Source organism: Homo sapiens, chromosome X (genome assembly GCF_000001405.40).
Source record: "Homo sapiens chromosome X, GRCh38.p14 Primary Assembly".
NCBI classification, from domain to species: domain Eukaryota; kingdom Metazoa; phylum Chordata; class Mammalia; order Primates; family Hominidae; genus Homo; species Homo sapiens.
Genome location: NC_000023.11, coordinates 118,734,675 through 118,759,931, shown reverse-complemented (window position 1 = coordinate 118,759,931; position 25,257 = coordinate 118,734,675). Strand labels below are relative to the sequence as shown.

The 25,257-nt window shown below is 41.0% G+C and overlaps 1 protein-coding gene and 1 non-coding gene across 3 annotated transcripts in view, besides 1 other annotated feature; both read right to left on the bottom strand.

Annotated features, from left to right (window-relative positions):
• The window catches only part of IL13RA1 (interleukin 13 receptor subunit alpha 1), a 77,623-nt gene that overhangs the window by 45,297 nt on the left and 7,069 nt on the right, over positions 1 to 25,257 (bottom strand). For both annotated transcript variants that reach the window (XM_047442096.1, NM_001560.3), the window contains exons 2-5: positions 18,776 to 18,915; positions 12,840 to 12,978; positions 10,154 to 10,274; positions 1,690 to 1,877 (exon numbers count right to left, since the gene is read on the bottom strand). In XM_047442096.1, the coding sequence (XP_047298052.1) occupies positions 1,690 to 1,877; positions 10,154 to 10,274; positions 12,840 to 12,978; positions 18,776 to 18,915 (588 nt within the window). The remainder of the gene's footprint in view (positions 1 to 1,689; positions 1,878 to 10,153; positions 10,275 to 12,839; positions 12,979 to 18,775; positions 18,916 to 25,257) is intronic.
• Positions 7,587 to 7,686: an enhancer, noted in NCBI's record as "active region_29878". NCBI's record gives its function as "activates an Ori minimal core promoter by ATAC-STARR-seq in GM12878 lymphoblastoid cells {active_cell/tissue: GM12878}" and the evidence as "EXISTENCE:reporter gene assay evidence [ECO:0000049][PMID:35858748]".
• On the bottom strand, positions 21,750 to 21,877 carry LOC124900501 (small nucleolar RNA SNORA35). Its single transcript, XR_007068430.1, has one exon. It is a non-coding gene; the product is annotated as a small nucleolar RNA SNORA35 (small nucleolar RNA).

Here is a 25,257-nt window from a genome sequence, read left to right as displayed (position 1 = left end):
GCGTGGTGGCACATGCCTGTGGTCCCAGGTACTAGGGAGGCTGAGATGGGAGGATAGCTTGAGCCCGGGAGGTCAAGGCTGCAGTGAGCTGTGATCACGCCACTGCATTCCAGCCTGGGCAACAGAGACCCTGTCTCAGAAAAAGAAAAAAATAATTTATTTTTAAAAATGCATTAGCCTGGTCAATTTACTTTTTCAGGAGTCAGCTATACTTAAGACCAAGCAATAGAAGATAATGGGTAATTAACAGAAAACAACTTGAAGATATCATCTTCTATCTGAGAAGGATCTTCCTTCTTCCTTTATGTCACCATTAATATCCAGAGAGGAAAACAGCAAAATAAGACTTAAAAGATCATCTAAGATAATCTGCCAAACAAAGAGAAGGGCTCTGCTTCAGCTTACCCCACTAGGCAAAATACTCCAACCTCACTCCCTTGGCCTACAAAGTAAGCTGACTTTGGTACCCTATTAGAATTCACTTCTATGACTATCTAAGCCAGAATCTGAGCTCCCAGTTGGGATATTTCAACAAATAAACCATTACGCTAATGGAATTTGCTTTAGTAATTTACACAATGTGTTAATACGCTTTATGTCATTTGGACCTTATGACAATTTTTTTAGATAGAGGGAGATTATATATTCCATTTCACAGATAAGGAAATATTTGAAGGGGGTTTATATGCCTTGCCCAAAGTGAAGGAGTTAGAACCTAATCAGATAATCTGTGTTCAAGCTGAGGGTGCTTTCTAACAGGCTGACATGCAGCTGGCACCCACAGTTAAGGCTATACTGGTTTTTCTAACTGATCAGTGCCCATGCCATACAGAATGTTAAATATTTTGAATATCACCCGATTACACTACCTTAAGTCTATGCCTTTTCTAAGAGACAGATTATTTAGGAACTACATATGATCATTATGAGTATCATCCTCTTTAAGTATCAAGAGACTAGACCTTAGAGTCAGATGGCCTGGGTTCCTGCTATGATTTGAATGTTTATCTTCTCCCAAACTCATGTTGAAACTTCATCCCCAATGTGGCAGTATGGAGAGGTTGGACCTTTAAAGAGATAATTGGGTCATGAGGGTTCTGCCTTCATGAATTGATTGATCTATTGACCGATTAATGGATTATCATGGGAGTGGGACTCGTGGATGTATACAAAGAGGAAGAGAGACCTGAGCTAGCATGCTCAACTCCCTAACCATGTGATGCCCTGTGCTGTCTTGGGACTTTGCAGAAAGTCCCCACAAACAAGAAGGCACTCATCAGACTTGGCCCCTTGACCTTCCACTTCCCTGCCTCCAGAACTCTAAGAAATAAATTCCTTTTCTTTATAAATTACCCAGTCTCTGGTATTCTGTTATAAGCAACAGAATACCAGAAAATACCAAACAAAAAATGAACTAAGACAATTCCAATGTTGGTTCTACAACTAACTGTTCTAACTCTCAGTGTACTCTAAACAAGGATAAAGCATCTGGCACATGTGTTCAATAAAAAGAATTTCCAAGTTTACTTCTTTAAAAAGGATCTATCAAAGAAAGTTATACATCAATATAGTCCCTTCTTTCAGAAGATCTTAAACCCAGAATGATCATTTTTTATTATTTGTATTGATTGTGCAAAAGATATAACACACTTTTTATCCATACTGTTTTAGAGGACTTCTAAAACTTACCACGGGAAGTTAAAGGCACTATATTGAAGGATGGTTTAATTTTTCCTGCATTATCCTTGACCATTATTTGGACACTGTGTTGTTCAAAACTGGAATCCTTCACTTTGGTCAGATCAAAGGAACAACCAAAGTATTGGCCTTCTCTAAAGATGTTTTCACATTGATGAATTTTTTCCAGGCTTCTGTGCCTACAAGATAAAATGAGACAATCTTCTGCATTATATTCAACAGAGTATTCAAGAAATAAGAGCAGGCTGGGCGCGGTGGCTCACACCTGTAATCCCAGCACTTTTGGAGGCTGAGGCAGGCGGATCACTTGAGGTCAGGAGTTGGAAACCAGCCTTGCCAACATGGTGAAACCCTGTCTCTACCAAAAATACAAAAATTAGCCGGGTGTGGTGGCAGGTGCTTGTAATCCCACCTACTCAGGAGGCTGAGGAAGGAGAATCTCTTGAACCTGGGAGGCAGAGGTTGCAGTGAACTGAGATTGCACCACTGCACTCCAGCCTGGGTGACCGAGTAAGACCCTTCCACAAAAAAAAAAAAAAAAAAAAAAAAAAAAAAGGCAGAATTCTTTTTAATGACTGAGATGTCCATGAAAAGCAATATTTGCAATGGGCAAGATAACTTTTTTTAAAAAAACCCTATTGTACAATGTGACTCATTTCATATGCTAGGAAGAAAAGACTGTTTTCTGCTTTTTTTTTTTTTTTTTTTTGAGACAGAGTCTCACTCTGTCTGCCCAGGCTGGAGTACAGTGGCACGATCTCAGCTGACTGCAGCCTCCGCCTCCCGAGTTCCAGTGAATCTCATGCCTCCTGAGTAGCTGGGATTACAGGCACACACTACTACGCCCGGCTAATTTTTGTATTTTTAGTGGAGACGGGTTCAGCATGTTGGCCAGGCTGGTCTCGAACTCCTGACCACAAGTGATCCACCCGCCTCGGCCTCCCAAACTGCTGGGATTACAGGCGTGAGCCCCTGCACCCAGCCTAGATTGTTCCTTTTTGATGAACACTGGTACTGTCAGCAGCTATAGAGACTACAGGAGGCCTATTTCTTCTGTATAAGAGAAGACATTCTAAGGCTGGGATTAGAAGTTTCATGCTTCTTGAAAATGCCTATCTGCTGAAGTCTACGATTCCTCCTCTGGTCCCTCTGCCCTGCTCCTTCCTTGTTTCTTGGCTTGTTCTGTTCCCTCCTCTCTCTTCCAGCAGAGGGGGAGTAGGAGGACTACTCACATTCTTCCCTCTTTCTGACTCCCTCATCCACTCACATCCAGTTTATCACTCCCTCATCCTTCAACTACAGTTTCTATGCTGGTAATTCCTAATCCTGACATCTCACCTCAGAACAAATCCCAGATCTCCAACTGCTCCATTTGAGTGTTCTACCATTGCCTCAAATCCAGTGTCCAAAACACATCATGCACCCTCTTCTCCACCAAACTGTTTTTTCTTCCAACCTTCCCATTATCAGCCAGAGCTCATTTTCTTTGGGCTCCTAGATTAGGTAATTTAAATTAAAATCACCTTTTCCCCCACCTCTGTTCCCTGTATTCTATCACCAAATTCTGTTCTTTCTTCCTTTGCAAAGCTTCATGGATCCTCGTCTTTTATGATACATCCATTGCCCACACCCTGAGATTCATACCCTAATGACTACAGGCTCCATTGCTTCTTCAGATTGACCTCCCTGACCTTCATTATTAGTGCCCTCCAATCACTGCCAGGTCAATGTTCTAAAACACAATGGCTTTCTAAGTGTCTCACTCCACTGTGTGGCTTTAACTGTCTTCCATAAGCAGTATTACAGGTACCTTATTTCCCATTTCTCCTCGACACATACCTTTCCCCAAAGATCATCAGCACCTAGCCCAGCGCAGGCAGACAATGTGTTTATTACACTTTTTTTTTTAGTCTAGGCTATCAGAGAACTGTTTTGTAGTAACTGGCAGAAGACAGAGTCAAGTCTTACATCATCAGCCACAAAGGGAGTTGCACAAAGGTTTTGCAGAAAAGGAAGACAATTTTAAGAAAAATGAACTAAGAGTAAAGAGTCCCAAATCCTTAACCTGTTACCTCAGAATCCTCTGTACTACTTTAAAATGCAGGTTTCTCAAACCCTCTCCCAGAAAATCTGATTTAGAAGGTTTTGCCAGGACCTAGGAACCAGCATTTGAACAGCAATTCTCCAGGAGATTCTGCTGCAAGTCAGTTTAAAAAAAAAAAAACTCAGAGCTAATGTATTTATTCCTTCAAAGGCTGCACAAAGGAATGCTTCGATATAGAAAATGCTTTTTTCCTTCAATAGGTAGTACATAAGCTTTTCCCCCTAGTTGCAGCGCCCTGTGGTTTATGAAGAAAACAGTGTTGTAAAAATGAAGTTATTGTCATGACTAGTTTTTGGATCAGACTGTCCTGGAATGTTTTCCGCCCATGGCCAAAAACAGAAACTGAAGAAATTTAATGACATTTTTCTTACATAACTAAAGAAAGCCATGTGTAAAATTGTTTTTAATGATGAAAGGAACTCCTCGAATGCACAATCTTCTTGATCCCTTTTTCATTTCTGTACCCTGAGTATTCTGCATATGCTCATGGATCTCAGATAATGAAATTTTAAAACAATTTTGTTGTAATTTAGAAATAATTATAGAAGGGAAAATACTGGTTCTGAATAGATAACATTTCTTGAATTCTTGTGAAACATTAACCTAAAACAGCAGGTGATTCCTGTTAAAATTTATATACTGAATTCATCTGCAGAGTCACACTGCAGATATGAGAAGGAAATTGACAAATTAAAGACTATTCTCCCAACTCAGAAGATGATTAATGTGGTAAAAAAAAAAAAAATCCCTAAAATTCGCTGGCATGACTAGTCTGAAGCTCTTCAGGCCGGGGTCTGTTCAATGCCAGACTGTCCCTACAGGGACACAAGTCATTGCCCTAGGGCTTCAATGAATTATTTTGATTTCAAAAAATGACTCCAGGCCAGGCGCCATGGGTCACGCCTGTAATCCCAGCACTTTAGGAGGCTGAGGTGGGTGAATCACTTGAGGTCAGGAGTTCCAGACCGGCCTGGCCAACATGGTAAAACCCTGTCTCTACTGAAAATACAAAAATTAGCCAGGTGTGGTGGCACGTGCCTGTAATCCCAGCTACTCAGGAGGTTGAGGCTGGAGAATCACTGGAACTCGGGAGGCAGAGGCTGCAGTGAGCCGAGATCGCACCACTGCACTCCAGCCTGGCGACAGAATGAGACTCTGTCTCCAAAAAAAAAAAAAAGAAAAAAAAAAAAAAGAAAGACTCCGTATTTTATGGTTGGGGGTTAGGGAAAACAGTCTCTGGCAGTTTGTTTGATGTGATTTATACTGGTACCTAAACCATTTCTGGTGCTTGCTAATGAGCACTGTGTCTTGACTCCCTTTCTTTTGTGGTTTTGATTAGAAAGGATCTATCTAGAGGAGAGCAAGAAAGAAGGAGATATGGGTTAGGTACTAATTCTGTGAGACGGGAAGAGGCCAGCGCTGTGTACTGACTGCATCTGCAAAGGAGTGGGGATAATAACAATAATAATAATAATAAATAGTATTTTTTTTTTGAGATGGAGTCTTGCTCTGTTGCCCAGACTGGAGTGCAGTGGTGGGATCTCGGCTCACTGCAAGCTCCGCCTCCCGGGTTCACACCATTCTCCTGCCTCAGCCTCCTGAGTAGCTGGGACTACAGGTGCCCGCCACCACGCCTGGCTATTTTTTTGTATTTTTAGTAGAGACGGGGTTTCACTGTGTTAGCCAGGATGGTCTGGATCTCCTGACCTCATGATCCACCTGCCTCAGCCTCCCAAAGTGCTGGGATTACAGGCGTGAGCCACCACGCCTGGCCAATAGTAATAATAGCTATTATGGATTGAGCACTTACTCTACATATGCTAGCAGCTAGTCATGGCTCTAAACACTAGCCCTCACAACAACCTTAAGAAGTAGGCACTATTATTACTATCTCCATTTCACAGATTATGAAACTAAGGCTGAGAGAGAAGGGACTTACCCAAAATCACACTAAAGTAAGGAAGAGAGCCAGGATTTCAACCCAAGCAGTGTGGCTCCAGAAAGAATAAGCTGTGGGGTGGTAAGGGGATAAGATACAGAATCTATACCAGCACCATCCAACAGAACTTTCTGGGATTATGGAAATGGTCGCTATCTGTGCTGTCCAATACAAGAGCCACTCATCACTTGTGAAAGTGGTTGGCGAGACTATGCAACTGAAGTTTTAATTTGATTCAATTTTAATTGATTTAAATTAAAATGTAACTAGCCACATGTAGCCAGTGGCTCCTATACTGGATGGCACAGAACTACACTACAGAAAGATCCCCTGCTGATGACCAGCTCTGGGACTGTATATGACAAGAAGTAGGCCAGGTGCGGTGGCTCATGCCTATAATCCCAGCACTTTGGGAGGCCGAGACGGGCTTGAGCCCAGGAGTTCGAGAGCAACCTGGGCAACATAGCAAAACCCCATCTCTACAAAAAACACAAAAATTAGCTGGGCATGGTGGTACACACCTGTGATCCCAGCAACTCAGGAGGCTGACATGGGGGGATGGCTTGGGCCTGGGTGGTTGAAGCCGCAGTGGGCAATGATCACACCAACTGTACTTCAGCTTGGGCAACAGAGCAAGACCCTATCGCAAAAAAAAGTAGGATCCTTGATATCTGCCCCCTTGGATGCTAGTGACCCACCACTATCTTGGAATTGCATCTTGAGCGACCTCCAGTGGCTGTGCAGATTGTTCCCTGCAAAAAGACATCAACTGAGGGCTGAAAGCCAGCCCAAGTACCATCTGCTCTCAGCTTTGGTGAGAGCCTGCTTCAGCCCAGAGGAAGAGGAATGCTTTTTCAAATTGGTCAGTCCAGGTTTTTTTGTAATTCATTCACCCAGAGGAAACATTCTTTTAACAATTTGCATTGAGACTTTGTTTTTGCTAGTATATCCCCAAGGCACTTCCCTATTTTTGTCTTAGAAGAACCCCAAGGACTAGGCTACCATCTGCCTCCAGTGCCACCCTGATTCTAATAGCTGGGATAATTTTCTACCCAGTCTGCCATGGAATGAGATACAGTTTTAAGACTTCTTCCCTTCTTTTCCAGTCCCTTATATAGACATAGATTCTTTAAAGGTTTTCCCTGCGGTTTTACCAATAATGATTCCAGGGAAAACAAGAGGGGTTAATAGCATAATAAACACATGGATGCTGCCAACTCACAAGACATCTTAAAAGCCTGTGTAACAGCTCTCCCTAAACTTTACTACAACATCAACAGCCAGGCTACTCCTTCTTAGTAAGGCTTAGTTCTTTGGCCCCTTCTTAGCAATTCTTTAGGGAGCTGGATCTACTCAATCCTTCTCTCTTTTTATTCATGAACCATAATATTCCTCAGTTGCTTATACCTCATAAGTCATCACCGCAACCCTGAATATTCTCTAGCTTTGGATCCTACCAAACATTCACAACTTATTTATGGAATACCTACTATATATCAGGCACCAGGAGAAACAAGACACAGCTCCCGCTCTCAAGAGAAACTGAAGCCTGTAGCAGGCTACCACCAAGTAACAGGAAATGACAACACAATGTGCTGGGTAGTATGACACAAGAAATTGCAAGGTGCCGTGAGACAAGAGGAAGGGACACATGTCTAGACTTGAGAGGTCAAGGAAGGCTTTCTGGAGAGGAAATGGTGTCTGGGCTGAAATAAGGATAAAGACAAATAAGAGGCATCCAAATGAAAAGGAAAGGCCTAGGCTACAAGAGGATGCAGAATGTTTCCACTATTCTGTTTGAATATTCTGTTTGAAATCTAGTGTTGTGTTTGAGTATTTGAAGAAAGCAGTCTGAGGAACTGAAAGAAGTTTGCTGCGGGCGAATGGTAGGCTGCAAGAGGGGCGGGGGTGCATGGAGGCAGATGCAACCGAGTCTGGAGAGGTTGACAGGGGCCAGGTCTGTCATAAAGCGATTTGTCTGTCATGCTGGAGAGTTTGGACTTTAACCTAAAGCCACCAGGGAGCCACTGAAGGGTTTTAAGTAAAGGAGAAACAACAGGTACCAAGAGTGAGCAGGTGAAACTACAAAACCTCAAATGAGATTTACATCAGGGGGGGAAAAAGAAACAGACCTCAGACATAACCACACAGAACTTCTGGCTCCACCTGCAGGATTTCCCAACTTTGCCAGGAGGATCCTTCCACCAGGGAGGAGTGCGGATGTGAATCCTGGGGCAACTTTGGAGGTTTTCATCCAAAAATGTGTGTTACTTTTTTTTTTTTTTTTTTTGCATTCTATTCCATGATATAGCCATGAGTGTTTTAATGTATCAAAAATGCTTTCCATCATGTCATCAGGCAAAATAGACACTCTAGCATGAAAGGCCATGTTTATCCAGTAGCTTCACAAGTCTTGGACATGGCTCTCCACATCCCATTCTCTCAGAAGAAGTCTTAACAAATGACAGTCAGGGAACAAGGCCATGTAGAGGCAGACTGCCTATGCTAGGTCTCCCCTTCTCCACCCTGACATCACAACGATTAAATACCTCCATTTCTCAAAATGCTCTTCCCCAGAGGCCAGCATCAGAGAAACTCCCCCATCTAGGCAGTCTTCCTCCTTCATCAAAGCCTCTCAGTCCCCTCTCCATCCACCCATCCACCTCCCCTCGACCACCACCCCAAGCTCCAACCTAACTTCCCACAGGAATCTATCTATCCCTCTGCAACAGCCTTCAGCATACACTGTCTTACTTAATTTAATGCAGGTCACTGTATCAGGCACTATCTTCTCCTCTATATTTTGAGCTTTAGGAGAGAAGAGATATGTTTTTTGTCTCTGCTGTGCATTCAGTGGTTTATCCACAAAGTGTTCTAAATAAAGGTTTACTGAATTAAACTGGATTAATCTGGTCTTTCTTCCTTGTTCTGTTGCTAATAATTCTAGGCTCTAAAGGGAATGATGGAAGACTAACTTAGAAATTTAACAAACTTTGTAGTAGATATAGTCACAAATACCAAATACTAAAGTATCAAATATCAAAATATCAAAGTTGTTTTGCAGGAAGCTAAACTACTTTTTGAGGCTGGGTGTGGTGGCTCACACCTGTAATCCCAGCACTTTGGGAGGCCGAGATGGGCAGATCACTTGAGGCCAGGAGTTCGAGACCAGCCTGGCCAACACGTTGAAACCCTGTTTCTACCAAAAATACAAAAATTAGCCAGGCATGGTGGTGCATGCATGTAATTCCAGCTGCTTGGGAAGCTGAGGCAGGAGAATCACTTGAACCCAGGAGGCAGAGGTTGCAGTGAGCCTAGATCTCACCACTGCACTCTAGCCTGGGTGACAGAGCAAGACTCTATCTCAAAAACATAAATAAACAAACAAACAACTTTTTGACCCCGGACATATCATTTTCCTTTTTAAAAGTAGACATCAATAACTCATGCATTGCTAGTGGAAATGTAAGGTGAACTAACTTCTTTAGAAAACAGTTTGGCATTAAAAAAAAAAACTAAATAAGCCATTACTATATGACCCAGCAATTGCACTCTTGGGCATTTATTCCAGAGAAATGAAAAGTTATGTTCATATAAAAATCTGTATGTGAATATTTACAGTAGCTTTATTCATAATAGCAAAAAACTGGAAAAAACTGAGATATCCTTTAATGAATGAATGGTTTAAAAAACTGGTACATCCATATCATGGAATACTACTGAGCTATAAAAAGGAGTGGCCTCGTGATATACAACTACTTGTATAGATCTCCAGGGTATTACGCTGAGTTTTTTTTTTTTAAGCCAGTCTTAAGTGGTTATATACTATAGGATTCCATTTCAGTAACATTCTTGAAATAATAAAATTAAAGAGCTGGAGAACAGATTAGTGGTTGCCAGAGGTTAGAGGATTGGGGGAGAGGGGTGTACAAGGAGAGATGGTTTAAGACGGAGGTGAGTGTGGCTATAAAAGAGCAACTCCTTATGGTGATGCAACCATTGTATATCTTCACATGTGATAAAATTGCATACAACTACATATACACACACACGAGTGCATGTAAAACTGTTGAAATAGGACTGAGGTTTTTGGATTGTACCAATGCCAATTTTCTGGTTTTGATAATGCACTATAGTTACACAAGATGTTACCACTGGGAGAAACTGAGTGGAGTATATGGGATCTCTCTGTACATTTTTTCTGGTAATATACAGGATCTATATTTAAAAATAGAAAGTTTATTTAAAAAGTAGACACCAAAGACAGATGCATTTTTCATTGAAGCAAACTGTCCATCTTGTTGAGTTTGCAGAAAAAATTAAACAGTTCTTTTTTTTTTGACTAGGTTGGATCCAAAGGCTCCCAACACAATTACAATCAGTCTTCCAGTAATTGTACTGTACATACTCACCAATAGTAGAGAGTATAGTTAGTGTCGGGACTGGTATTCCTTCCAGGGAGCCAAGAACACTTCATGTAGCTCAGGTTGTGCCAAATGCATTGAAGCTCAGTCACAGCAGACTCAGGATCACCTAGAATATCCAGGCCAAGAGTTTAAGACCCTTCTTTCCTTGTAATGCAAAGTAGCAAATCACTCTTTGGCATGGGGATGATGAGAGTGCTTCATGCTGCTTTGTCAGAAAGCAAATGCTTCATCTCTCACCCCATTTTACCCAGAAGTCACCCAGGATGGAGGAAACTCAAATCTAATTTGTTCACAACCTTCTCTCTTACCTCCTGATACAAAGAAAACATCTTCCCTATCACTGAGGGACCCTAACTAATATTCCTAACTGGAGGGAGAGATAAAAGATCAAAAACTATTTCAATCATAGACAATATCTACACAATTCCTAAATGAATGTGGATATACAAACAACCCTTATATATATCTGTCTTAAAAAATTATTGAGGTACAATTTAACTTTCTGTCTTTTGATCAATACTGACACATTTTTTAAAAAATAAACATTCAGCCAGGCAGGGTGGCTCACGCCTGTATTCCCAGCACTTTGGAAGGCCAACAAGGGTGGATCATTTGAGGTCAGGAGTTCAAGAACAGCCTGGCCAACTCGGCAAAACCCTGTCTCTACTAAAAATACAAAAAATAGCCAGGTGTGGTGGCACATATCTTTAGTCCCAGCTACTCGGGAGGCTGAGGCACAAGAATTGCTTAAACCAGGGGGGTGGAGGTTGCAGTGAGCCAAGATCTTGCCACTGCACTCCAGCCTGGACAACAGAACAAGACTCTGTCTCTAAATAAACAAACAAACAAACATTCCTCCTGAAGCAATTCTGGGGAAAGGTAAGCCTAATTTAACTCTTAGTAGTTGCCTCTTAAGTGTCATGACTTTAAGAGCCCTAGTATCTTTCTGACCTAAAATCTCTATCTTTATAAAGCCATTTTAGTTAAGGTATAATGTCTTTAAATTAAACACCTCTGTTTAAAATGTAAATCTGTTATCCCTCATGATCCTTGAAGGGGTACTACACTGAGCCATCATCAACCATTTTATGTCATAGTATAGTAATTATTATTTTTTTGAGACAGAGTCTTGCTCTGTCACCCAGACTGGAGTGCAGTCATGTGATCTTGGCTCACTGCAACCTCTGCTTCCCAGGTTCAAGCGATTCTCCTGCCTCAGCCTCCTGAGTAGCTGGGACTACAAGCATGCACCACACCTGGCTAATTATTATTATTTTTCTCCATGTTGACCAGGCTGGTCTCAAACTCCTGACCTTAGGTGATTCGCCCACCTTGGCCTCCCAAAGTGCTGGGATTACAGGTGTGAGCCACTGCATCTAGCCGTTTTTTTTTTTTTTTTTTTCGTTAACTCCTAAGGAAAGGAGAATAGGGCAGGTAAGTTGTTTCAAATCTCCTGGCAGTCCTGAATTTTATAATTTTACAAACAGCACTTCATGTGTTTGTGATCAGTACAAAGCAGGTAAATGGAATGGCTTAGAGCAAAGGGCACATAGAGCTAAGGACTGGAGGTTAAGAGATGGGGCCCAGCCCTACCCAACCAAGGGACAACATAATATTATATATAATTATATATTATATAATATTATATATATTACATATAATGTATATAATATATATTATATATAGTATATATATGTGTTATATATATATGTTTTTTGTGTGTGTACACACACACACACACACACACACACACACACAACATTCACTCTTTGCCAGGCACTATTCTAAGTACCTCACATATACTGACTTACGTAATCATCCCAATAATTCTAGGAGATAGATACTATCATCATGCCCAGTTTACAGATGAGGAAACTAAGGTGCAGAGGGGCTAAGAAATTTGCCCAAGGTTACACAGCTAGTAGCTGGCAGAGCTGGGATTTAAAGTTAGACAGTTGGTTTCTGGTAGCCCTGCTCTTAATCAGTATATGCTACTCCCTGTATGTAACATAAGAGCCAGAAGGACATTGGGAGAGGTGGGATTGGGGAACAATGATCATCCTCACTACTTGACAGCTTTTCCTAAGGTTGTCTTGTACTATCTTGTCTAGACTTGTATTGGAGCCAGGCCAGCATAATATTTTTCTCTTTAAACAACATCTTTTCCCAAATATATCCTGCATATCAAACTAAGTATCACACATAATGGGTAAGAGAGTATTTTGTGTTTTATTTTTAAAGCACTGGGCCTGAAATGTGAAGACATACAGCAAGTCACGCAGTTCCTTTCTTCCTCATAAAATGGATCAGGGTAATAATACATGCCTTACTCACTTCACAAGATAAGCTTGTGACTCTCGATCTAAAGGAGGGGTGTGCGTGTGTGTGTGTGTGAGTGTGTGTGTGCGCGCGCGTGCATGTGTATATCATTTTTTAAATTATTAAATTTTATATAACTATTAGGCATTGTTATTCAAGTTGTTTGTAAGCTTCTTCAAGGCAGAGACATACTCATATTTTCATTGAGCTGCTAGCACCTAGTACAATGCCTGGCACTTATTAGACTCAGAAAATGTTTGAGAATTGAATTAATTAATGAACAATGCACAAAAGCATTGGAGCATTCAGATTTATTCTCTAAACACCAAGAGATAGCGCTTTCAGTTGTTACCTTCTGGGGGTGAGATGCATTTTTCAACCAAAATGCTAGGCTTCTCACTCTCATTGGTGCTACACTGGGACCCCACTTGCAGACAAATCCTCTCATTCAGGGGTACTTCTATTGAACGACGAGTTTCCGGAGCTATTTTCTAAGGTTAGAAAATTGAAAAAGGCATTGCTTCAGCTAACACACACTTATATAATGAAACATTAGCATGTCTAAATGTGGTGCTTTTTTTATCAAAAAAGTTATCAAATGGTATAGATCAGTGATTCTCAATTGGGGCTGATTTTGTTCTCCCTACCGCTCTCAGAGACATTTGGTAATATCGAACACTTTTTATTGTCCTAACTTGGGAGGGGGAGGTTACCAGCATCTAGTAAGTAGAGGTCAAGGACGCTGCTAAACATCCTACAATGCACACAACAGCCCCCCTCCTCCTACAACAAACCCTTCAGCAAATGTCACTAGTGTCACCATTGAGAAACCCTGGTGTAGATACAACAATTTCCCACATTTTAAAGGTATAAACATGAAATTTACCTATAAACCTACAATGCTAACATATCAACTCTCTAAAAGCAATTTTAAAGGAAACAATATGATTATCAAAATTCACTTAGAAGTAGATGCACTGTACCAGGAAAATTAAGGTTAAAAAGGGATGCTTTAAGAATCCAGGAATCATGCCAGGCTCAGTGGCTCATGCCTATAATCCCAGCACTTTGGGAGGCTGAGGCAGGCAGATCACTTAAGCCCAGGAGTTCGAGACCAGCCTGGGCAAAATGGCAAAACCCCATCTGTACAAAAAAAAATTGGCCAGGTATGGTGGCTCATGCCTATAGTCCCAGCTACTCATGAGGCTGAGGTGGGAGGATCACTTGAGCCTGGGAGCGGGAGGCTGCAGTGAGCCAAGATTGCACTCTAGCCTGGACAATGCAGTGAGACCCTGTCTCAAAAAAAAAATCCAGTAATCATGGTTACTTCTGGGTAAGGAAGTAAAGGAGGAGGGCCTGAGGGCTGAAGAGAGACTTTTCATTAAACCTCTTTCTCTACTGTTTGACTATTTTGACTACCTCATATATATGTATAAATTTCAAACATTGCTATATGTGCTGAGTATATACACTCTCATTCTGAAAAGTAGATAAGCTTTGTGGAACCATAGGAAGCCAATTTATAGACATCATAGAGACATAAATCACCAGTCTGGTTACTATGACTGAGAATAATAAGATTAATGGGCTCTCCGGGAAATTAACATTTCCCAAACTGACAGAGTTGGAATAATTAAGAATGGAGCTGCTTTTAATCAGAGCTCCAAGGAGAGCACCTCCTGTTTTGCAATAGCTTCTGACTCAAGTCAGAGATAGTATTTCCTTTCATCTACATGTTGACGGCCATGAAGAGGAAAATTTGCCACAGTTAGTTCTATCTGCTACCCTAAAGAGCTATTCTGCCATGTCACATGCCTGCTGCCAGCTGAGCATGAGGGCAACTGTGAGATACCCCCAAAACCAGGACATATGGATGGCCTCTGAGAAGTAACTACCAAGTCAACAATGAATAAATCATAGCAAGGACACAAAAACAAAATCACTTTATAGAACCAGAATAGCTCTTAGGTCCAGTCAAGACAGTACTCTGAAAAGGGAGTTGGTCAGCCCTGGAAGAACAGAAAAAGAAATGTCTGTGAGCAAAATCCTGACAGGCAGGAAAAAGAGGGTGATACAGGAATGTGGGCATTGAATTTTTCTGTCCCACTGGCAAAGCTGTTTACTCTCAGTAGGGCCTCCAGCTATTCTTAGACAAGTATATTTTTACAACTAATTTCTGATTCCTCACCAAGAAACCTACTTAACATTTGGCTTCCCATATAGGCTCTGCCGACAGGGATGAAATGCACCAGTTATGCTAACAGAAATCTTCCTAGAATGCTTCACCATTACCATTCCATTTTCACAACAAAGTAAAAAATCAGCCCCTGAGAGATGCATGTGTGCTGAGGAAATGAAGTTTCTGAGTATGTGAAGCTGAAGACCTGCCTCCAGGATCATGGTAGTGGTGGCAGGAAGGCTTCGAATACAAATTTTACCAACCTCACAATTTTACTAAGCACAAGTCCCATATATCTTTGAAGAAGCCACCCTTATCCAAGGATCCATGGCAATTCTTGTTTGGAAGCTATATTTGCCCTTTGAAGACATCAGGGGAAAATGTACAGTCAAATGTCAAATTAGACTGTACAGTCAAATACAGTCAAATTAGAATCATCATGAAGATAATCCCAGTTTTCATATTATAATGGACATTGTTCCAGTTAGAGGGTTACGGAGTTTTAGTACACAAAAATTATCACAATGGAATTTTTAATTTAAAAAATGCCTTAGTGGCCAGGCGTGGTGGGTCACACCTGTAATCCCAGCACTTTGGGAGGCCAAGGTCACCTGAGGTCAGGATCACCTAAGGTCAGGAGTTGGAAACCAGCCTGGCCAACATGGCAAAACACTGTCTCCACTAAAAATACAAAAAAAATTAGCTGGTCGTGGTGGCATGCACCTGTAGTTCCAGCTATTTGGCAGGCTAAGGCACAAGAATTGCTTGAACTTAGGAGGCAGAGGTTTCAGTGAGCTGAGATCGTACCACTACACTCCAGCCTGGGTGACAGAGCAGACTCCATTTCAAAATAAAATAACATAAAAAATTAAAAAATGCCTTAGTATCTAAATCCGAACCTTATGCTTCAGGCATATGAATAATAACATAGAAAAGGGACAGTAGAGGGAAAATTTTTTCAAATAATTTTTTTTTAATTTCTTTCAAAGTTCAAGGTAAACAATATTAAACTGGCACTAATAAAGTAGGAACCCAGATTATCAACAACTGCCAAGTCAAGTACACCTCTCTGTATCACACAAGAAACTAAATTCCTAAATTCCTTCCATCAGATTTTTTTTTTAAACAGTCTTGCTCTGTTGCCCAGGCTGGAGTGCAGTGGCATGATCTCGGCTCACTGCAACCACTGCCTCCTGGGTTCAAGCGATTCTCCTGCCTCAGCCTCCCAAGTAGTTGGGATTACAGGTGCACACCACCACGCCTGGCTAACTTTTGTATTTTTAGTAGAGACAGGGTTTCACCATGTTGGCAAGGCTGGTCTTGAACTCCTGACCTCAGGTGATCAGCCCGCCTCGGCCTCCCAAAGTGCTGGGATTACAGGCATGAGTCACCACGTTCAACCCTCCCATCAGATCTTGATGAGGTATGTGTGATGGCTCCCATGTGACTTTTGGCTTTGGTGAATCATTCCCACTGGTAGCTGCTGTATGATGTTATGCTCCACCCTGCAGGGAATCTGATTCCCTTTGAAAATTTATCAAAAACCAAGGCAAGAGTCCTGAACTGATCTCCCCAGACCAATGTTCACTTGGCTGGACTGCACCTTTCTCAACTCCAGAATTCCTTTCTCAAAAAGAAAGGGAGTTAGCTTCAGCATCTTCCTATTTGGATGCCTGGCCTTTTGATTAGTTTGCCTAATGGGACTTGCCCATCTCTTAGTGATGAAAGATATCTAAAATCTGATGCTAGATCCTCCTTCTACTTGCCAGCTGAGGAACTATTAGACACTGCCTAAAAAATGGTGGAGGGCTGCCATTTACACTAATCTTTTCTTTTCCAAAAATCCTCTGCAAATCCCTGTCTCTCAACTTGATGAGCCTCCAATCTTAAGATTGAAAATGACCTCAAGGGTTTATCTCATTTAGCAACTTGGGACCTTTGAACATTTTCCTAAGCCCCCTAATGTACAAACTATCATAATGCCATTGCTTCAATATGCTTCAGGGATACCTCAGTTTGGCCCAATGATGCTAATGCTGTACCCAAAGGACAGAAAGAGGAGAGGAAAATTACTTCTGCCATTCATTTTCAGCCTCCTGATGATAAACTTGAAAAAGGTCCAGACAGGATATCTCCTATCACTGACTGGAAGGAATAATCCGTGTTCATCACAAATGTAGGACTGATGGCCATCAATGCTGTCAAATGGCTACAATGAATGAGCTGGCCTTAGGCAGAGGTCACCCTTTTTGGTCTCTATCTGGTTTCTTCAGGGGTAAAATGGAGGAAACAAGATTAAATGATAATATTAGGCTGACAAATAATACTGACAACATTCAACCATTTTGACCCATAAAAGTGGTAATTTCACATGGCTCAACCTAACAACAGTAACAATAATAAAAGCTAACAATTACCTAGCACTAACTCTGTGTCAGGTGCATTACAAACCTCATCTCCTTTAATGCACACACCATCCATATTCAGTTGGTACTATTATTACCCGCCCCCCGCCAAAACAACCCCATATTTTATAAACAAGAAAATGGGAGCTCAGAGAGGTTAAGTGATTTGCCCAAAATCAAACAGCTTGAAACGGGAAGAGATAAAATTTCAAGCACAATTCTATCTGATTCTACTGTCTCCTAAAGTTACATTTAACTCTAGATTTCTGCACATACTCTGAGGAAATAGCCCCATTTCTAGGCTAGAACACCAGCCTGGCTACCTGATTGATCCTTGACAACTTAAGGAAAAGGGACCTGAAAAGCAACCTCTGCTCAGGGTTTCAGTTAGACACTTGGGTGATTACAGGGCTTACAGCCAGAGGCACTTAGGGTCTTTCTGTGAATTTCTCAAGGCTCAATTACCAAAAATCACCACTAAGACTCCAAATGCCTAAGGCCCTTCCTTAGGAGGAACAAGAGGAAGCCGACAGTATGTAAAGGCAAACTCCAGTCTCACTGCTAGTAGTATCATTGGCTTCCACATTTAGAAGACCTCTTTTAAAATGCAAATACTTCTGATAAGCCTCAATTCTTTATCAATTAACGCCTAAACCATAAGTAACACCTCAGCAGGACAAGGGAGAGGAAGGCAGATTAGCAAATTTCCCTCCAGAGGAAGAGCATGTTCCATCCTGACTATTAAACTTTTGTATATATACATTATTTTCTGTGTCCCAGCAAGCCAGCGAAGTGAGTAAAGCCATACTTTATACATAAGGAAACAAACGCTCAGAGAGGTTAAGCAATTTATTCCAGGCCATAGAGTCAGCTAAGAGTGACAGTGCCAATCAGAAGCTAGTTCTCCTGACTTCCTGCCACCAAAGCTGCCTGAACTTGGTGCTTCTACAATTCACTGATGCAAAGCACTGTTGCTAATAACTTCTCATTCTGCCTACTCAAAATCCTGGACAAATTCAACCCCAAACACCCAACCCACTCACCGCCGCCACCCTGCAACAAACACATACACACCGAAAGAAGGTATAAAAAGATTTTGAAAAAAAAGTTGAATAAGATTATCATAAAGGACCTGAAATTATCCAAACCTATTAACAAAAATTCACTTATATCAGTTGACTAGAAATCTTGAAAGTCTTCCTCCTTTTTCCGCGGGCATTACAGAACCCTCTACTCAAACACACCTGCCACTGACAACTTACTTTTTCACTTTCCATATGGCCGTTTACTTTTACACCACATAGTGCCTGTACATCTATTTGTCCATGTGATTAGCAAGATGGTAAATGTAAAAATTCCCCAAAATTAAGTGTTATATAGATACAAGGCAATACAGCTACAGGCAGGAACATAGGAACAAATTTTAACAATAACATAATTATTTATTGAGTACCTTAGAGAAAAAGATATCTAGTATTTCCTGTCAGAGCAATCTCAATTGCATTTAATTGTCAAATAATTAGCAAATATTTTTAAGTGTTCACTTGTGTCAATAGTTGCTTCTATAATTTCCCCAACTGAAATTTAAACACACCCTAAAATACAATTTCCACTTTGACGTAAGACTAGAATTTGGCTTATTCTTGGCTCCAATTCATAGTGTTCACTTTACCTCATCAATGTAACATGTTGCAGAAAACTTACCTTATCTTGTTTGTCGCCAAAATGACTAAAATACCATAGACTACAATTTGAGCTGGCTCCCTCGGGTGGATTCCATGTCCATATTACTGTGCAGAGGTTTTCAACAGAGACACTCAAATTTGTCACAGGTGGCTGAGTTTCTGTTCAAATCAAGGACAAAAAAAAATGAATTTATCAACAGTATTTTTAATGGTTTGCTTAATTCTCCCAAGTCCTAGAGGACAAGACAGTAATAACTGAGTTAACAACATCTAACATTTACTGGGCCAGGGACTATTCTAAATATTCCACACATATTAATCCATTTAATCCTCACAACAATCTTGGAGATAGGGACTAGTATTAGCCTCATGTTTTTGTTGTTGTTGTTTTTTGAGATAGAATCTCACTTTGTAACCCAGGCTGGAGTGCAGTGGCACGATCTCAGCTCACTGCAGCCTCTGCCTCCTGGGGTGAAGTGATTCACCTAGCCTGTTACTGGGACTACAGGCACATGCCACCACGCCTGGCTAATTTTTGTAATTTTAGTAGAGATGGGTTTTTGCCACACTGGCCAGGCTGGTCTCGAACTCCTGAGCTCAAGTGATCCGCCCACCTTGGCCTCCCAAAGTTCTGGGATTACAGGTATAAAGCCACCACACCTGGCCTATTGGCCTCATGTTAAAGATGAGGCAACTGAAGCAACAAGCAGGTGAAGTAATTTGTTCCATATCCCATGGCTACAGTAAACGGCAGAGCTGGGAGTGTCACTTGAAAAGTGTGGCTCCAAGGTCACATTCTTAACCACTTCCATAGAGAAGAGTGATATTCTTAAATACTAATATTTCCAAGTTGTTCTCTTCCAGGAATTTGGGGTTCCCTAACCTTGGGATCCACACCTCACTCCATACAGACTCTTCAGACTGGGCACGGCGGCTCACACCTGTAATCCTGGCACTTTGGGAGACCAAGCGGCTTGAGCCCAGGAGTTTGAGACCAGCCCCGGCAACATAGCAAAATCCCATCTATACAAAAAAGTTACAAAAGTTAGCCAAACATGCTGGTACATGCCTATAGTCCCAGGTACTGGGGGGCTGAAGCAAAAGGATGACTTGAGCCCGGGAGTTTGAGGCTGCAGTGAGCCAAGATCATGCCGCTGCAGTGAGCCAAGATCATGCCACTGCACTCTAGCCTGGGTGACGGAGCAAGACCCTGTCTCAAAAACAATGACAACAACAAAAAATCAGATTGTTCAAAATCTCAGCAGTTCTATAAGTAAGTTTAAGAAGCTCATCTTTAATTCTGCTTGCTAACATGACCTGGTAATTGTTTTTTTATAGCTTTTCCAAAGAAGTACTGAGAAAGAGACTTAGCAGCCCTTGTTCCCCTGAGGTCTGACACTAAACAGCTGGAGCTAGAGCTTTGACTAATCTGAAGAGGGAAGAGAAAGAGGAGGAACTGTGAAACATCATTTTAAACTTTCCTGAGAAGTTCTCCTGAGACTATCAAAATCATCCCCCAGAAACTGGGTGATGGGTATACAGGAACCCTCTGTCCCACCTTTGCAACTTTTCTGTAAATCAAAAATTATTTCAACATAGAAGTTTATTAAAATTATTTGAAAATAATTCCCCCAAATTTTCTAAAGTGATGAACGGAACCATTATTAATTACTTAAGGATTATAGTAATAGTAATTTACCAAATGATAGAGTTAAATCTTGTACTCTATGCTAATACTTTGGAGTGCACTGGGCCTGTTACATAATCAGCAATATTTATACTGTTACCTTCCTCCCTAACTGAGCAAAAAATTCCATTTGTCCCAAAACATCAAAACATCAAACTCACAGACACTCTGTAGTTGAGGTTTCTCTAACAGTCAATTTTATACATAGCAGCTACTTGGTCAGCAGTCTACAAAGGCCCTTGACCCTCAACATTCATTCCCTGGTGATTATTTAAAAGTCAGAAAACAGATGTTGATGAGGCTGTGGAAAATAGGGAATGCTTATACCCTGTTGGTGGAAATGCAAACTGGTTCCACCACCGTGGAAAGCACTTTAGAGATTTCTCAAAGAACTTAAAATAGGCCAGGCACAGTGGTTCACGCCTATAATCCCAGCACTTTGGGAGGCTGAGGCGGTTGGATCACTTGAGATCATGAGTTCGGGACCAGCCTGGACAACATAACGAAACACCGTCTCTACTAAAAATACAAAAATTAGCCAGGCATGGTGGTGTACAACTGTAATACCAGAAACTCAGGAGGCTGTGGCATAAGAATCACTTGAACCCAGGAGGTGGAGGTTGCAGTGAGCCAAGATTGCACCACTGCACCCCAGCCTGGGCAACAGAGCAAGACTATGTCTCAAAAAAAAAAAAAAAAAAAAAAAAGGACTTAAAATAGAACTACCATTCAACCCAACAATTCCATTACTTGATATATACCCAAAGGAAAATAACTCATTCTATCATAAAGACACATGCACCTGTATGTTCACTGCAGCACTATTCACAAAAGCAAGGACACGGAACTAACCTAAGTGCCCACCAACAGTGGACTGGATAAAGATAATGTGGCACATATATACCATGGAATACTACGCAGCCATAAAAAGAATGAAACCATGCCCTTTGCAGCAACATGGGTGGAGCTGGAGGCCTTTATCCTAAGTGATCTAATGCAAGAATAGAAAACCAAATACCGCATGTTCTCACTCATAAGTGGGTGTTAAACACTGAATACACATGATCATAAAGATGGAAATGATAGACACTGGGGATCACTAGACAAGGGAGGGAGGGAGGTGGGTTTGGGGGCCGAAGAACCACCTGTTGGGTACCATGGTTACAGCCTGGGTGATCAGATTGTTGGACCCCAAGTCTCAGCGTCATGCAGTTTACCCATGTAGCAAATCTGTGCATATACCCTTTAATCTATAATAAAATTTGAAATAAAAAAAATCATTCCCTCTTCTAACTCTACCTTTTCCCAAGGTCCAACTGTGGGAAGGAGCAGCCCACAGCAGGACAAGGCCTTGTGGAAACAAAGAATTCCTATTGCACTGCATTAAAACTGAGCTAGTACCAGGGAGCACCAATGGCTCAGGCAACAGTGCTAAAGTTAGGATTTTAAGTGATTAAAAGCATGTATGGCTATTCCATTTTGGCCTTTCTAACACCATATCAATGATATTTTTGAAGACAAATCATTTGTCAGGTAGAGAGCCTCCAATAAAAACATTGTTCCTACTGGAGACTACAATTTACTGTAGGATTATCTGCCTTATTCTGCAGTTCCCAGAAACACATCCAAGAAACCTAGTTTAGCACTTCCAGTACTCTCCCTACCCACCTACCTCCCACTCCCACACAAATATTAAAGCCCTGATAATAAAAATATACCTATTTGTGGTTCATTTCAATTGTACTCCAATTTATTTTCAAGGTAATTTAAAACCTACTTTAACCTCAGTTTTGAAATAAAACAATGGCCTGCCCTATATTCAACCTTTCAAATGGGATTAATATTCTCCCATCTGTTTTGAAGTGTCCTTTGGTCAGATCTTCTAACTGGTTTGCATTTTGGGCTTCCTGGGGCTATCTGCTATCCTTTTCTTTTTCTCTTCTGGTTTCCTCCATATCTTTTGATTTTTCTACTTCCTACACTTTAAAAACACACACACATGGATTCTGGGAATAAGGCAAGAGTAGGAAGCACCAGACATCTATCTCCTCACCTAGATAACAATGGTAGTGGCAGAGTCTGTTTGATGTAACAATTTTGGAAGACTGCAGAGTTATATCAGGAAACACTTACATTGAAGGCTTGCAATTTCCCAGGAAAGGCTTGAACAACAAATTGCCATAAATTTCAATCAATGTCAGCTTTTACATAGTAGTAGCTGCCCATCCTTCATCCCCAACCCCATGGCAGGCGGCTGTGCACATGTTCCTGGAGCCCTCTGCCCACAGCTTGTGGGCTATGTGGGCAGAAGTACTCTGTCCTCCAAATATCAGGGATTTGTATTCTGATTACTGATTGCTGCTTCTGATCACAGAGGTACAGACAAAGAGGCTGGCAGCCATTGTGGTTGCACCTATCCCCACTGTTGCAAGCCCTCCCTATCTAGCTAAAGTGATTTCCAGAAGATGTAAAAGAATGGCGCTCTTCCCTTGTCGCCTCATTTTTCTCCTTTTCCACTTTTGGGAGCCAGGCATTAAAGATTAGAAATTCTTAAACAACTACAGAGGCTGGGCATGGTGACTCACACCTATAATCCCAGCACTTCGGTAGGCCGAGGCAGGAGGATTACTTGAGGCCAGCAGTTAAAGATCAGCCCTGGCAACACTGCGAGATCCCATCTCCACCAAAACAATTTTTTTTGTTTGTTTGGTTAAATTAGCTAGGTGTGGTGGCATGAATCTGTAGTTCCAGCTCCTCAGGAGACTGAAGTGGGAGGATCACTTGAGCCCAGGGATTCGAGGTTACAGTGAGCTGTGATCACACCACTGCACTCTAGCCTGGGCAACAGAGCGAGACTAGGTCTCAAAAACAAAACAAAACAAAATGAAACAAAACTATATATACAGAGAAAAACAGAAAGTGACCACACATGCTCAGGGAAAGCCCAGAAAAAAACCTGAGAAGACTAAGTTTACACTTCAGGTTGATGCTCAACACACAGACAGCCTACAATAATCAAAAAAATAAAGACAATAAACAAAACAATAACAAAAAACAGCAAATCCTGGGGGAAGGGGGAATCTGGTTTCCAGAGAAACCAGATTTAAATGTCCAGTTTCTAACAAAGAATCACAAGACAGACAAAACAAAACAAAACAAAAAAACCAGGAAACTATGGCCCAAAGAAAAAAAGTTAAACAACAGCAAACCTGTCCCTGAAAAAGACCTGATGGCAAATATATTAAAGAAAGATTCTGAAACAAATATCTTCAGATGTTCACAGAACTAAAGGAAGATGTGGAGAGAGTCAAGAAAATGATATGTAAGCAAAATGAAAATACCAATAAAGAGATAGAAAACCTAAAAAGAGACCAAAAAGAAACTCTGGAGCAGAAAAAGCACAACTGAAATGAAAAATTCACTAAAAAGAATCAAAGGTAGATTTGAGCAGGCAGAAGAAAGAATCAATAAACTTGAAATTAGGGCAATAAAAATTATTGAGTCCGAGGAACAGAAAGAAAAAAAGATTGAAGAAAAGTGAACAGAGTCTAAGAGACCTGTGGTACACCATCAGCAGACCAGTGTATGCATTATGGGGGTTCCAGGAGAAGAGAGAGAAAGAGGAAGAAAGAATACTTGAAAAAATAATGAGCCGGGTGTGGTGGCTCATCCCAGCACTTTGGGAGGCCAAGGCAGGCAGATTGCCTGGGTCCAGGAGTTCGAAACAAGCCTAGCCAACATGGCAATACCCCAGTTCTACTAAAAATACAAAAATTAGCTGAGTGTGGTGGTGCACATCTGTAATCCCAGCTACTTGGGTGGCTGAGGCAGGAGCATCGCTTGAACCTGGGAGGCAGAGGTTGCAGTGAGCTGAGATCGTGCTACTGCACTCCAGCCTGGGTGACAGAGTGAGACTCTGTCTCAAAAAAAGAAAATAAAGAAATAATGGATGACAACTTCCCAAATTTGATGAAAGGCGTAAATATAAACATCTAAAATGTAGACGATGCAGCGAAAGCAGTACTATTGGAAAAATTTATAGCTATAAACACATATTAAGAAACAAGAAAGATCTCAAATCAGCAACCTTAACTTTACAACTTGCGTAACTAGAAAAAGAACAAACTAATCTTAAGCTATCATAAGGAAGGAAATAATGAAGATTAGACCAGAGATAAAAGAAAAAGGGAATAGAAAAATAGAGAAAATCAATGAAACTAAAAGCTTCTTGAAAAGATCAACAAAACGGACAAACCTTTAGCTAGATGGACTAATAAGAAAGAAGACTGAAATTACTAAAATCAAAAATGAAAATGAGAACTTTACTCATTTTCAAAAATGAAAATGAGTATTTCTCTAGAATCACTACTGATTCTAGAGAAATAAAAAGGGTTATAAGAGAGTACTATGAACAACCGTACACTAACAAATTGGACAGCCTAGATGAAATGGACACATTTCCAGAAACACAAAACCACCAAAACTAAATCACAAAGAAATAGGAAATCTAAACAGACCTATAAGTAGTAAGGAGATTGAATCAGTAATCAAAAATCTCTCAACAAAGAAAAGCCCTAGACCTGATAGCTTCACAGATAAAATTCTACCAAACATCTAAAGAACTAGTACCAAACCTTCTCAAACTTCGTAACTCATTCTACGAGGCCAGCATTACCTGATACCAAAGCCAGACAAAGACGCTACAAGAAAAGAAAACTACAGACCCATATGCCTTATGAACATTGATGTACAAATTCTCAACAAAATAGCAGTAAAGTGAATACACGGGCATATCAAAAGGATTATAGACCATG